Below are 15,584 nucleotides of genomic sequence, written 5' to 3' on the forward strand. Positions count from 1 at the left end.
TAATCCCTTTTGTTAGATAGCTATTCTAGTGGCTCTTTGCTTTTAACCAACAAAGGCCCTTAAGAAAAGGAAAATGAAAAATAAATAGCAGTCCTGGAATCCTATTGCCTAGTGTAGGCAGATCATATTCTGTATGATCTTGTTGGCTCATATTATGTGGTGATTAGAGCTGGGCTTCAATCAGCTGGATGATTCCCCAAGGCAGGGTCTTGTCCCACCAGTGCACATGGTGCGCCCCGTCTGACACCAGGGCGACTTGAGAATTGAGCCCAGGGAAGCTGCAGTGTGGTGCAGCAGATGCGTACTGGTGGTTGCCATGGAGATCGCTAATACTGCTGAAACCCAAAGAAAGGGCATTTGCCACAGCTCAGGAGCCTGCCTGAAAATGAATGAGAAACAAGTGGAATTCAGAATAGTCCCCCAGCTCCTTATCCCACATGGAGTTTTAATTTCCTTTTCTCCTCCTCTTCCTCTTCCTTTTTCAAAGAATAGATTGAAAACAAGGCTGTGTTATAAAGCATGCTCAGCCCCCTCCGACCTCATTGCTGCCTGACATATCCCTGGAATAGATGTATATTAATGACGACGCATGACTAATAGGATTGGGGCTGGGGGCTGGTGTAGTGGTGCTTCTGGAGCCTGTGGGCCGCATGTCACTGGGGTTTAGCAGGCACGCTGGGATTTGTCTGCAGCATATGCGCTGCTGTTAATGATTGAAAAATTACCACAACAATTAGTCATGGATCGCTGAAGGCAGGGCCCCCAAATGTGATGGACAATGTGATTAAATCCATGTATGTGACAATTAACTCTCCTGCAGGTTTATCCACCAAGGAGGGTGCCCTAGGGGTGAGAGCAAAGGGGAATGAGAAGGAGGAAAAATGGGAAAACAAAAAGGAGCAGGAGAGAATAATGCTGCAGAATGGATCAGATACAGCTGGCACTATTGGTTTTAATCTGATCCTGAATTAATCACGGTTTGATTAATCCTGGTTTTATTGCACCTTTCTGTTGCCCATTTATTTATATCTTCCTTAATTTTATAGAAGCATGACTGATTAAATTCTGCCCATTCTGTGTTTTTTAAATTTTAAAATCAGGTCTCTCCATTTAATGTGATGTCCTAGGTGGTCCAAGGTGCAATTATCTCGTAAGAGCTTAGCAGGCACCAGACATAGCATGTCATGAATCCCCTTATGTATCACAGCTGAGTAACCCAGAATAAATATTTGTTTGCTCAATATTCTGCCTAAGTAAAAAGAAGCCTTGTGATGTCAGTCTGCTTGTTTATTTGGGTGGAAGAAATAAGAATACACACCCCCGCAACTTTGTTAAATACAGAGAGCACACATTCAGTATATGTCACACACAAAATTTTGTGCATAAAGAAAAAGTGTGTTAATATTTGGATGAAGTATCTGCAAATATATATTCATGGCCTAAAAGGGTAATGTTTGCAGTCCATAGATATGTTCATACGTGGAATTATTTTTAACCAGTTTGTATTGTTCTTGTTTTGTTCTCGTTTAGATGTTACTTTTGGTGTTATCTATATTTGCATACCAAACACTACATTTAAATAATGCCAAGGAGGTTGTGACACGAATCAGCACAAGCAAAACCTCATGCTTTGTAACTCACGCATGTTGGATACACTGTGTGCATTAAGAATACCCTGCTCCTGGCCAGGCGCGGTGGCTCATGCCTGTAATCCCAGCACTTTGGGAGGCCGAGGTGGGTGGATCACGAGGTCAGGAGATTGAGACCATCCTGGCTAACACAGCGAAACCCCGTCTCTACTAAAAATACAAAAAAATTAGCCGGGAATGGTGGCGTGTGCCTGTAGTCCCCGCTACTTGGGAGGCTGAGGCAGGAGAATGGTGTGAACCCGGGAGATGGAGCTTGCAGTGAGCTGAGATTGTGCCACTGCACTCCAGCCTGGGCGACAGAGCGAGACTCTGTCTCAAAAAACAAAAAAAAAAACAAAAAAAAAAAACAAAAGAATACCCTGCTCCTGATTCAGGAGAGGGCATCTAAAGCTTTAGAAAACATTGAATTATATTTACATACATTGTTTTTCTTCTTACAGCATTCCTGAGGGTTATTCCATTGTTCTTGTTTAGGGTGAATTTGGTAGAAGACTCAGTTTTTTATTTGCAGGCTAAATTGGATTATCTTTGTTACTTGCATTTTTACCTGATCTACCCAGGCATATAAGGATAGATTTGTTTGTGATGTAGGCAGCGGTGTCTTTCAATATAGTAGAAAAAGAAAATAATCAGCATAAGCAAAGATCTCAGTGCACAGGCCACACAGAATGGACGCCGCCCTGCTGGATACCTTTACACCCTTGCATCCCTAGCTGCTGATATCACTGTGTTTTTAGAACACCACTCCAGAAACCCAGTCTATCCATGAATGATTTAGGAACCTCAGGATCCCTCCTGTTACCAAATTTGTGCTCTCCATGTAGCCTCCCAATAACCAGCCCTTCAGTTCTGTGAAGGCAGGAAAACACATCATTCATGAATGTCCTTCATACCCATCAAACTAAAGGACTGCATACTTCTCGAGCCATCATCACATTTCCGTTATCTCCAATGGCACATGCCGCTGTCTACATGTATTAATTTCTGCTGGGGCTTCAGTAACCAGGGCCAGCCAGCACGGTTTGTTCATTTGTTTGTTCATTAATGCATTATTTCATTTATTTATTATTGACATATGTTGGGCAGTGTACCGGGTACTTGAAGTGGAGATGAAGGTGGGACACAGGGAGACTCACAGTCCCAAATTTTATGCTGAAGGTGTGTTGTAGAGATAAGATATACAGTCATGCATCACTTAACAACAGGGATGCATTCTGAGAAACATGTTGTTAGGCAATTTTGTCGTTGTGTGAACATCATAGAGTGTATTTACACAAACCTAGATTGTGTAGCCTACTACACACCTAGGCTGTATGGTATGGTCTGTTGCTCCTAGGCTACAAACATGTACAGCACTTTACTGAATACCGTAGGCAATTGTAATGTGACGGTACATTTTTGTATATCTGAGCATATCTAAACATAGAAAAGGTACAATAAAAATACAGTACTGTTTTTTTTTTTTTTTTTGAGACAGTCTCACTCTGTCGCCCCGGCTGGAGTGCAGTGGCATGATCTCTGTTCACTGCAACCTCTTCCTCCTGGATTAAAGCAGTTCTCTACCTCAGCCTCCTGGGTAGCTGGGATTACAGGCACCCGCCACCACGCCCAGCTAATTTTTGTATTTTTAGTAGAGATGGGATTTCACCATGCTGGCCAGGCTGGTCTTGAACTCCTGACCTCGTGATCCACCCACCTCGGCCTCCCAAAGTACTGGGATTACAGGCATGAGCCACCACGCCGGTGCCCAGCCCAGTACTGTCATCTTACAGGACCACTGTCATATATAAGTAGTCTGCCATTTACCAAAACATTGTTACTTGGTGAACGACAGTGTACAGGAAGAACCATATACAAGGTGGAAATTGACAAGTACCACAAGAGGAAAACTAAATGAAAGGATATGATTGTTTGCAGATAGGAGAAATGACTTCTCCGTGGGTACTGGGGAAGGTTTTGTGGCATCTGACTTAGTCTTTGAAGAGGTTCCCAATTCACTCATAGCCAATGGTTGAAAGACTAGATTTCTTGGACAGTTCTCAAAAAGAGTTGGATATGCAGGCTTGAAGAGAAGTATATTTTAGGCACGTGCAAGAATGTGGGCGTAGTACTACTTTGGACATAACAAAGAAACAACTTGATTTGAATGTATGATGTAGAAAGAGCCTTTTGGAGCCAGATTACGGAGGACCTTAAATGCTCAGCCAAGGAGTTTAGACTTCCTTTTATAGTCAGTGAGTTGAGGGATAATAAAAGAGGACAGATGAGAAGACGTTGCATGAAGCATGTGCGTTTCAGACTAGGACTCTCCCCTGACCACAGTCCTCCAAAAACTTCCCATGCAGCTTCAGGTAGAATCTCGGCTCTAGCTCATGGCCTTCAAGGCTCTGCATCATGGGCACCTGCCTCCTATTTGGACATCATAGACCCCTCTTTACTTCCCTCACTCCTGTAGTCACACTGTTTACTGTTTCCAGCTGAGTCTCTGCTCTTACTGGTCTCTGTAGCTGAAATACTCCTACCCCAGGGCTTTGCATGGATGCCGCCTTCTCATTACTCAGGTGCAGCTCAGAGAGTCCCTCTTCCACTCTTTGCCTGTCTCCCAACCTCCAATTCCCCTCTCTGTGTCCCAGTCTCAAGTGGCTTGCTGTCATGGATGCCGGTCGTTGCTCCCCTGATGTTGTTTTCTCCCATGATTTTGCTCCATTAGCCATTCTGTAACTCAGGGAAGGTGTGCCTATCCGTTGGCCAGGGGCTAACCTGATCATAGTAATTCTCTTATTATCAGTGATTGGTTCATTCATGGCATGTGACCCAGTGAGGGACCAATGAGACATGATGGGGGAAAAGTGTCTTCCCTTCTGAGAAAATGTCACTAAAGAGATGTTGCCTCTTCCTTCCCTCCAAGTTGAAGATCAGGAGGTGAGGTCTGGGTCTGCTGAGTAAGGACAGTTGACACTCAGAAGAAGGCAGCCCCCGGCGAACGGGAGAGAACCAGGATATGGATGGAACATGCCCACACCTAGACTTCTTGTTTTGTGAGATGTTATCTCCTTCTCAAGTCCCTTTGAGTCGTGTTTTCTATTACCTGAGTGGGAAGCATACTAATTGATGTTTTCTTTTATATCACTCTGCTTTATTTTCTTCATGGCATTTGTCAGTTGGTGAATTATCCTGTTTATTTATTCTCATGTTTATTGCCTGTCTTCCTTACTATCAGTGAAGCTTCATTTGGACAGGAACTTACCTGTCTTGTTAACTGAATTCACAACTCCTAGAACTGTGTGAAGAGTATCGGTAGGTGACCAATAAATAGTTATTGGATGAATGAATGAATGAATGAATGGAGTGAGGGAGGGATGAACAAATGAAAGAATGAAGTGAGGGAGGGAGATTAATGTTGCCCTTGTATATTTTATAAAATATCATGGGGAGGGGTTGGAGAGGGCTTATGGAAGGCCGTTGCCATGCCGAGGAGTTCACAGCTAGGTATTGAGAGCCTGCCCCTTGGTTGTTGCAGTGCAGTGGGGAAGGGCCAGACAAAAGGGATGTGACAAACCTAACAGGACTTGGAACTGCGGCCAGAGTGGAAATGGGGAGAGGTGGGCTTAACTCCTGAGGCTGCACCAGGGGGTTATTGGGAGGAATAGGATGTAGGAGGAATAGCAGTTGCAATACTGGAAAACAAGGAAGTGTATTTTGGAAGTGTAGGATATTAAGTGCCAGTTAGGCATCAGTGTGGAGCTCTAGCTGGTAGTTGAGAATGTAGAAATGAAGACAGACTACTTTTATAATCAGAAGAAAATATCCCTCTTTCTTTATAAAGATAATCAGGCCTGGCAATTGGTACTTCTCTTTCCTAGTTATTATGCCTGACTCAAAAGCAGACTCCATGTCCAATTCAATTTATGTGGCCAGAGCCCCTGTTTTATGTGCCTATCATAATAATTTGTGTATAATTCCTTTATTAGAACAAAACCAAAACCAAGTAAAGACCTTGACTGTCCTTGGGTCTAACAGGGCTAAACAGAGCTAGTTCTAAGAATACTTAGATGGTCAGAGATTAGCCAGGAACTAGTTTCTGAGCAGTGTCTCAGCTCACAACAGACCTCCTTCAGGTATTCCCTATCTCATTACCCTAGCTTATTGTCTTCCTGCCGACACTTCCTGCTTTCCTGAAATACCACTTTTATTTGTTTGACCCATGAGAACAGGGTTGATTAATGCCAATTGTGACTATTATAAGGCCTAGTTGACTTGAGTTAGAGAATGCTACAATGTTTTCACTTGTCTTGTCTCACTGCGGCATCTCCAGGACATATAACATAGTGATTAGGAACACTGGCTCTGAAGTCAGACTGCCTGTGTTTGTATCCAGTCTTACTAGCTGGGTGACCTTGGGCAAATTACTTAATGTCTCTGGGCCTCAGTTTACAAATTATTGTAAATTAATTAATTTTGTGTGTGTAATTAACTGATATCTTTTGAGGAGTAAGCAAATAAATCCATATCAAATACTTAGGCAAGGCTGGGTGTGGTGGCTCATGCCTGTAGCCCCAGCAGTTTGGGAGGCCAAGATGGGAGGATGGCTTGAGACCAGGAGGTGAAGACCAGCCTGGGCAAGATAGTGAGACCTCATCTCTACAAAAAATAAAAAAAATGAGCTGGGCGTGGTGGTGTGTACCTGTAGTCCCAGCTACTTGTGAGGCTGAGGTGGGAGGATCACTTGAGCCCAGGAGGTCGAGGCTGCAGTGAGCCATGATTGCACCACTGAACTCCAGCCTGGGTGAAAGAGCGAGACCCTGTCTCAGAAAACAAACAAACAAACAAAAAACAAACCAGTAACAATGACCCGCCCCCACCAACACACATACAATAAAACACTTAGTGCTTGGCACATATTAAACGTGATGTCAGTATTAACCTGGCACACGAAGACACTCAGTCAATATGTGTGGAATCCAACTGAAAGAGCGCAGATTGATGTGGCTGTAACAGGGGCTCCAGATAATTTCATTAGCCTAACCTGTGACCAGTTACTATTTAACCTGGCTGTCTATTGGTAGCTTTTTCCAATTCTAGATAAAATCCTAGTATGGTACAGACAGATAGGTGGTGATCATATATCTTTCACTTGTATGATGCTTTTACAGATTATTTTCTTACTATCTGATCTCATCCTGACAGCTAATCTTGGGAATAGACAGGAATATCATTTCCGTTTTATGAAACAGGAAGCTTAGGCACAGAGAGGTTAAGTGTCCTTAATAACTCATGGCAGAAGCATGAGTAGAGCATGAGCCTCCTGTTTCCCAGACCCTGGCTGGAGCTCCCCATCTGTTCATCCCAGTCTATGCTACCAATGAACATAGAATACATGTCCAGATGCCCAGGCAAGATAAGCGTTCAAACCACCATGATTCTCTCACATCGACTGAGTGCCCCTGTCTTGCAAGTGCGGAACAACCAGCACCACCATTAAAATGGTGGTTCGTCCAGGGTGCTTCCCTGGCTTCCCCCAAATTAGTGCTCTTCGGGCTGTGTATACCTAGTCTGAGCTGCCATGAGTGGCCAGATGGTTGTGGTTTGTTCATTCCCTCTTGGTGGCCACAAAGCAGGGCTTCCCAGGATTGCGTTATTCTCCCTCTGAGCCAAGGAGAGAGTGCTCAGGCCTGCAGGGGAGTGAGACAGAGCCCCAAATACTTGCTGAAAGTGCCAATATTTTTAGAAGCTCCCTATCTTTTCTTGACTATAAAATATACAAATTATAAACACCATCATATATTCACATTTATTTTAGTATGTAAAAGCAATTAGTTTGTTTGTTATGTAGTAAAATTATGGCTTCTGGGAATTCCATCGGGGTGAACCCGTGAATCTGTATCCTGGACATACTTGCAATGCGTATCAGCCTGTAGTCACTTTTGCTTAGGTTAAGGGTCTGGCCATCTGAGCACAGTTGGTTCTCTGTGTACGGTCTTTTCACTTGTCATCCCTTTTTTAGGGAAACCCTCCTTGGGGTTACAACATTTAACATGCTGCCTACAAAATGTGTTGGGTGTGTGCCCTCTTTCTTGTTGGCATTGTTAGATTCTACTCATTGTATTCAAAATGTCATATTCCATTCCAGGAGATACCACAGTGGGAGAGGCAACATGACATAGAGTGCATTTTAGGAGGCTGAAGCAGGAATTGAGTTCTACTTTGCTTTAGTGTTCATGCGTTTGACCAGGGGACAGTCTTTTCTTGAAAACCCAGGACAGCAAAGTCTCCAGATAGTCATCTAGTTTTAACTCCCAGCAGGATAAAAGCATTTCTAATACACAGTTGTTTATCTTTTAAATTTTGTCATCTTTCTGATCCATAACTTCTACTTTTACATTATATATCCACAGAAGTTATAACTTCTTATAACAAATGCTGTTACAGCTCAAATCTCTGCATAATAAAGCAATTGCTAAAGCCCTGTGCAGTGACCCAGTTCAGGCGGTATCGTGTATATAAAATTCCACAGCGATTTAAAAAAATCATTCTGGTTTGAATTATTTTATTAACTCCACATTACAACTTAATTGTATGGTTAGGTAACAACTTTAAAGCAGTTAAGCCAAAACCCACACAGCCACACCTGAATATACCAGTCTCAGGGAGATACCAGCTAGCTATATTGATGCACCCTGTTCTAGCACAACCCTCTGCTCCTCAGGAGAAGGAGAAGGGCAGGACCATTGGAAGAGTTAGGGACCTACGGCCCCCTTCTGTCATGTCTGTGTCTGCACAGATCTTTCCAAAGAGTAGATTATTGGCTTAGTGTTAACCTGGAGGAATATTTCTAGTTGGGGTGATGCAGAGCCCTGTCCTCAGAACTGTCTGGTTCACGATTTTTATCAACGACTTTGATGAAGACATGTTTATCAAACTGGCAGTTGACGCAAGGCTGGGAGGATAGCTAATGTGATTAGTGACTTGATCTTGAGTCAAGAAAATCATGATCGTCTAAACGGATGCGCCAGAAATAACAGGGTGAAAAATAGTAAAGTTAAATATGAAGCCTTCAAATTAGGTTTAAAAAATTAATTGCACAACTCCAGAGTGGAAAGAAGTGGAGGATGTAATTTGTCACAGATTCAATATGAGTTAACTTATAATAAGGCTGTTGAAAAATGCAGGCAATATTATAGAAGTACATATACAGCTCAAAAAAAGTAAGAACATGGCGCAGAACGCATCTGGTTTATTGTATCCGGTGTTTCTTTTCTCTTCCTGACCTGAGATATACTAAAATTCAAAGATTACCTAATGGCATACCTGTTTTAGTAAGTTAAGTGCAAATATTCTAACTGCAAGTTGAGATAGGTTGAGACATGTGACTTTTGGATAAACTCTTTGAGGTAAGAATGACGGTTTCAAGCACATTTTGGGAAATTGTCAAAGATCTGGAGTAAGTCCTGCCCTTTGCTATCTCCTTCTTGCCTCTCTGCCACTCTGTCCCCTTCCCTCAAATAAAAACTTCTGCTACCACTGTCACTTAAAGCAAAGCTACCAAATAGGTGGCTTCTTTTCTGACTGAGTTGCCTGCAATCTTTTATCCTTCCTCCTTCCTCCTAGGTTTAACTGCATGGTGAATTTATAGTGTCATAATGGATGTCTCTTTAAAGCAGGATTCTGCAGGATCTATAGAAGACTAAAAATGAAAACAACATCGAGTGTGTATGAGTGTGTGTATGTGCACACGCATACGTGCATTTGTGCATGTGCTAGTCTGTTGGTCGAAGCCATTTTGCAAAATTAAAAATGAAAGCACTCTTTAAAACAGTCTTTGCAGTTAGCCTGCAGCACAGTGTTCACTGGCAGCAGGAAAAGGCAGTGAGTCCTTTATGCACGTCTTACACCTCCCTTTCAACTCCCTGTCTCTCCCCGCTGGAAAGAGAAATATTCTGGCACAAGCATCTTCTCGTCTCGGTTCAGAACGGGTACCACCTGCCTCCAGAGCCCAGGGGAGCCCTCCGTGTGTTCCTGCCCAGGCACACCACATGGAAATGTGGACACAGTGCCAGGCGGACGTGTTAATAGGCAGGGAAGGGGGAGGGGATGTGTAAAGCACTGCAAAGCTTTTAGCCACAGCCACCTACTTATTAGCTAGTTAAGGCTGCCCATGGTGTTGTGAAGGGAGAGTGAAGACATGGGGCACATTGCAAGCTGTCCATTGGACACAGGGCAAGTTGTAATTACTACCACAGTTTCTTTTCTTTTGTCGTTTTTCTGGATCTGCCTCAGTTCATTGTTCTTAGACTTGGGAAGGGGAGAAGCTGTCTCCAGCCATTTGTTACAAGTAGTCTAGAATCTGTGCCCATTAAGTTGACTCTTTGAAAGAAAACAACAATTTGATGCCATTTTCTATCCCGAGGCCCTTGTCCTTTAGAGTCACAGTCCTATTTATTTATTGCTTGCATTTGGCATGCACAGCTTCAAGAGAATTTCCTTTTAAATTTCTCACTGGTCGTTTGAGCTTATCCAGCCTTTCCCTGGGAATTTGGGGTGTCAGCATGCATTCTGACAGGGATACTTAGGCGGATTGGAATGGCAGGCTGTTAAAAAGACCCCCCTTGCTTCCAGATCCACTCTCGTGGTCTGCTCTGTGATGCTGTATTTTCACACGTGGAGACGCAGCTCTTAGGATGGCTTCTTGCTCCTCCCTAAGTATCTGTGGATATGCTTGAGGACTGTCCTCGTAAGTTCCTTCTCAGCATGAATCGGTTCATCAGAGGCTTTCTTGAAGGAAGGTCGTACCAGAGTGGGGACTGGGTCTCATGAAACGGAGAGGAAAGAAGCCGAGGAAACATGCTTCCTCTTTCTTAGAAACCTCAGGTTTTTATTGGATAAGTAAATGGTAATATCTATCTCATAGGATTGCCAGCTTACATCTTTTTTTTTTTGAATCAGATGGAAAATAAATAAATGCCACATTTCAAAAAGTCTAGGAAGCACAATCCCTCCTCACATTTTTATATTTCTGGTATCAGTATTTGATATCAGTACAATCCATATTATCTTTCAATTATTTTGGCAGAATTATTTTTTTCTAGTGGTAAATTACACAGCATCTTATTATCTCTGATTTGATGCAATATGGTTTAACTGACCAGGACTGTTGCTGGATTAAATGAAGTAAGGTGAGGCATGCGGAACTCTACAAATGCCCACTTAATGTTTTTGAGAGTGGGCCCTTTTTCCTGAGGTTCATTAATGGAGAGCATAAACATGGAGAGAGACTTGGAATCCTGACCTCTTAGTGGATTTCTAGGGATGCTCTTGTCCTTCTTTGCTTCCTCCAGGTATTGAACACTCGAATGCCAGGTGGTGTGCTAGGTACAAGCTTCCTGGAAGTGAAGGACACCCTTATCCCCAGGGAGGTGAGAGTCTAGTGGAGACAGACAGAGCAGCACCCATTTGAAAATCACTGTGATGAGCACTGCAAGGTGCTGGGGAAGCACAGAGAAAAAAACCTCAGCTCAGTTGACGTGGGGCTGGGTAGGAAAAGCTTCAAGGAGGGGGCCACTGGGCTGAGTCCTAAAGGACAATGATGGATTAGCTAGGAAAGTTCAGAGTCAGCACTTTCCAGAAATTACAGTTGGGAAAATCGTGCATGTTCTCATTTGTAAAGAAGCCTGCCTTGGGTGTACCTGTGTTTCCTCCTCATGACCCAGCTCTGGTTTCTGCCACAGCTGCATTGGAAGGAATTGCTGGAGCTCTGACTGACCACTGCTGCCAGGGCCCACAAGGAGCCATACGCACATCTATCCACCTCTGCCTGGGACTTCTCCAGCTCTGTAGGCACTCCTTGGGTCCATGTACAAGAGCATTATGGAATGGCAGCCCTCAAATAAGGAGGGATGGGAGCTGGTGGATAGATACCCCAAACTGCTGGGTTCTCCTTCAAGCTGACAATTTCTAAAAGTATTCAGTGCAGTGGATACTATTGCTCACAGTAGCAATCTCAAAACACACCTTTATCGTAGCTTTTCTCCTTTTATCACTCCCCCTGCTCCTGCACTCTATCTTTATGTGATCAATTCCCAAAAGACCCACCTACAACAAAGTCCTTGTCTTTGGCTCTGCTTTTGGAGCAACCCAAAGTAATTCAGTATTGACTTTTTTTCACAGTACTAACTTAAAGCTTATATTAGGCCAGGCCTGGTGGCTCATGGCTATAATCCCAGGCCAAGGCAGGCGGGTCACCTGAGGTCACGAGGTCAAGATCAGCCTGGCCAACATGACAAAACCCTGTCTTACTAAAAATACAAAAATTAACCAAGCTTGATTGTACATACCTGTAGTCCCAGCTACTCAGGAAGCTGAGGCAAGAGCATTGCCTGAACCCAGGAGGCAGAGGTTGCAGTGAGCCAAAATTGAGTCATTGTACTCCAGCCTGGGTGACAGAGTGAGACTCTGTCTCAAAAAATAAATAAATAAATAAATAATAAAAATGAATAAATAAAGCTTGTGTTAAGGAGACTTAGAATATGGTATAAAACTGGCTCAACAAAGGTAGCCCAAGAGATGGAGATGAAGAAGAGGATGAGCAGGTGAGGGGGGGCATTAAGACAAAGACAACCAGAGCTTGTGGATAGAAGGTATAGCTGTACATGCATTTCTAAGCCTGAAGTGGTTCATGGAGTAATTTGAACGGATTCAGGGCCTGCCACCAACACCAGAATACTCCAGGGGAAAAAGGAGACTTGGAAGTTTGAAATGCCCAGTAAAACTTACAGGCAATAGCTACTGAGGAGGCTGAGGCTAGAGGATTGCTTGAACCCAGGAGTTTGAGGCTGCAGTGAGCTAGAATCATGCCACTGCACTCCACCCTGGGCAACAGAATGAGTGAGACCCTGTCTCTAAAAGTAAACAAAAACAAAAGTGAAAAACGTTCAGGCAAACACATAAATAAGTGATTCCATTATTTCTGGATGGGCCAAGGGGGACATACAGAAGGCAGTGTTCCAAAAGTAATCATAATGGTTGAGTTGAATTCATTATGCTGTGAAGGAATTATCTGGTAATGGTTATGTGGCATTGGTGCATTACCAATCAGAAGTTAGAAGGAAATCATGATCTTCCTCATCATGTATTTGCGTCTAATCAGAATCGTGTGAATATTAGGTTTTAGGTGGCAACACAGTCCATTAGAGCTTGCAGTGATGATGGGAATGTTCCATATCTGTGCTGTCCAGTATGGTAGCCACTAACCACATGTGACTGGTGAACTTGAGTTCCAATTGAGTGTAACTGAGGAACTGCGTTTTAAGATTACTTAGTTTTAATTAGTATAAACTGAAATAGCCACTGACTGCTTTATTGGACAGTGAAGTTTAGAGCATAAGGAAAAGATACAAAATACTGAAGTCTCACGTGTAACCTCTGGGAAACCTGGGGACAGTCAGTGGTCCCAGGGTGAAAAAGAAAAGGATAGTTTGCTTTACTCTGCAAGCCCCAGAAGGTCCTCACATCCCAGGAATCACAGGAGTGGCCTGGAGGGTGTGTCAGAGAGAAACCTCCTAGCTGGATTGAAGGGCACAGTGAGTTTCCAAAGGGACTCTGTTGTTGCTGAGAGAATGGTATCCTTAGTGCGTGCAGCTGAAGGCCAGGCAGACGGGGGCACAGCTGTTCACCTCTCTGAGGGGGCCTGGACTCCTGGGGCTGTGTTTGTGCTAGTTTTCAGGAACCCCTGTGAAAAAGCCAGATTAGACACTGTGGGTGTTCTGGAGACCTGAAGAGGCCCCGGAGGAGCCCTCCCTGGGCACTCAGTTGGTGGAGAGGAGAGAGGCTCTTCCTCCCAAAGAGGGAGAAAGCCCATGGCCTTAGCTATTCTGCTTGAATTAGTTGAACTTATTGGCTACTCCTGTGACCCTGGTACATGCACCATTTTTTTCAGCTTCTACAGAAATTTTGTTTCATGGCCAAGTCAGTGGACTCGGAGCTGCCTCTCCTTTGATGTAGCATTGAGTGTGGTGTCTCACTTTTCTCCTTTGTAAAATGGGCATACTTTGCTCATGAGATTGTTTTAAATAAGACATGAGATAATGAATGCAAATGCAGTTTGTAAATGTTAAGTGTTGTTTTGGAGGCTGACTGTACAAAACTTAATGAGGGCATACCTTGGTCAGCATTTTTTGCCTTCTCTTAGGCTTGCTTGATCCCTTAAATACTCTAATGGGAAATAGGAAACTTCTCACATGATGCAGTTCTTAACGTTGTCTTCATACTGTTAAGATTTAAAGTGGGGGGGACTGGGCTTGAAATCCTTTTTCCTGGGGGGCAGTGACTGTGGGGCTAAGAGTATAGCTCTCAGGCCGGGGGCCGCAGACTTTCTCTGTAAAGAGCCTGATAGTAAATACTTTAGGCTTCGTAGGCTTTATACTGTCTCTGTTGTATCTTTGTCTTTTTTTAGATCTTTTAACAAATGTAAAAAACATTTTTTTGCTCAAGACCATCCAAAACAAGCTACTGGACACATTTGACCTGCAGCTTCGGTTTGTCAACTCCTGCTCTAGAGTGCCCTGTCCTGCAGGGTGGCCATGAGCCGCACATGGCTGTGTACATCCAAATGAATTAGAATTCGGTACCACTGAGATTTCAGTTCCTTGGCTGGCCACATTCCAAGTGCCCACTAGCCACATGTGGCTGGTGCCTACTGAACTGGGCTGCACAGACACAGAACATTTCCCGCACTCAGGAAGTTCCGTCGGGCAGCCCTGCTCCAGAATTAGGTGGAATCCAACTTTGCCACTGCTAACCTTGGGGACTTAGACTAGTTATTCATTATTTCTGAACTTCTTTTCCCTGCAACTATAACGTGGAAATTATAGCATTACCTCTCTCAAGGATATGGCAAGGATTTAATGAATATAAAGTGCTTAGCACAGGGCCATTCACACTCAGTAAATGTTAGCTATTAATAGAGAAACAGATGCATTTCTGTTACTACTCATTTTAGTAAAGCTTAACTTTTTATATATTATATATTTTTATATTTGGAAAAGGGATTATCATCCTCACTACAGGACACCTGGGAAGTCAGAGATGAGGTTTTGGTTTTAGTCTCAGTAGTTGACCAGAGAAAGGGAAGTGTTTCCCTGAGCCCCAAACCCTGTTTCCACGCAGAACAGGTCTGTTCTTGTTATGACTTGTTTTTATTTTAGCCTTCTATTCAGGTGAGTTCTCACTCTGTGGTAATTTCATGAAAAATTTGTGGTAAATCTTTGTTCAGCTTAGTGGTGGGGTTAGAGATAAAAGTTATCTCACAGGGGAGAAGTCTCCACCGTCAGAACTTCTGAGTAAATGATTGCTTTCCCTTTGCTTGTGAGGAGGGATAGCCAGTGCTGTATTGATAAGCTTCTCTTTCAATACTAGTATATTTTGTTGCTGAACAACAGGACTTTTAAAATATATTGTTAATGAGCCAAATGTGATGCCAGGAGGTCAGCATGTTGAGGTGTGGACTTAAGCTTTGCATTGCTTTCCTTCATCCCCCGTGGTCAGCTGTCAGCCACGTTTCCATCATGGGAATGCATGCACAGGCCACAAGGAGTTAATCCTTCTGTCCTTCCAAGCAAAATGATCTACCTCTGTCTTCTGTGAAGAGAGATCATGGTTTTTAAAAGCTAATATGATAATGGCAGTATTATTAGCAATCTCAAATGAATCTTTGATCAGTTGAATTGTTTGATTTACCTACTCATTCATCAGATTTTTTGTGCCGTGAACATCACACAGAATCCTAGAAGGGCACCGTCACTGACAGAAATGAAGCTGGTTGGATATTGGCTGCTCATGTCCAGGGGTATTGATGATTCTTTCAAATAAATCTCAAAGTAAGGTATGCATAAAAAGATAACACTCAGCTGATATAACATTGCTTATACAGAGAAGGTTTTT

At 43.3% G+C, this 15,584-nt stretch overlaps 1 protein-coding gene across 19 annotated transcripts in view, besides 1 other annotated feature; it reads left to right on the forward strand.

Moving 5' to 3' along the window:
* The window catches only part of FARS2 (phenylalanyl-tRNA synthetase 2, mitochondrial), a 521,650-nt gene that overhangs the window by 221,628 nt on the left and 284,438 nt on the right, over window positions 1-15,584 (forward strand). The gene's annotated exons all lie outside the window — the stretch shown is intronic.
* Window positions 15,025-15,084: an enhancer, noted in NCBI's record as "active region_23907". NCBI's record gives its function as "activates an Ori minimal core promoter by ATAC-STARR-seq in GM12878 lymphoblastoid cells {active_cell/tissue: GM12878}" and the evidence as "EXISTENCE:reporter gene assay evidence [ECO:0000049][PMID:35858748]".

This window comes from Homo sapiens, chromosome 6 (genome assembly GCF_000001405.40).
Source record: "Homo sapiens chromosome 6, GRCh38.p14 Primary Assembly".
In the NCBI taxonomy this organism is placed as follows: domain Eukaryota; kingdom Metazoa; phylum Chordata; class Mammalia; order Primates; family Hominidae; genus Homo; species Homo sapiens.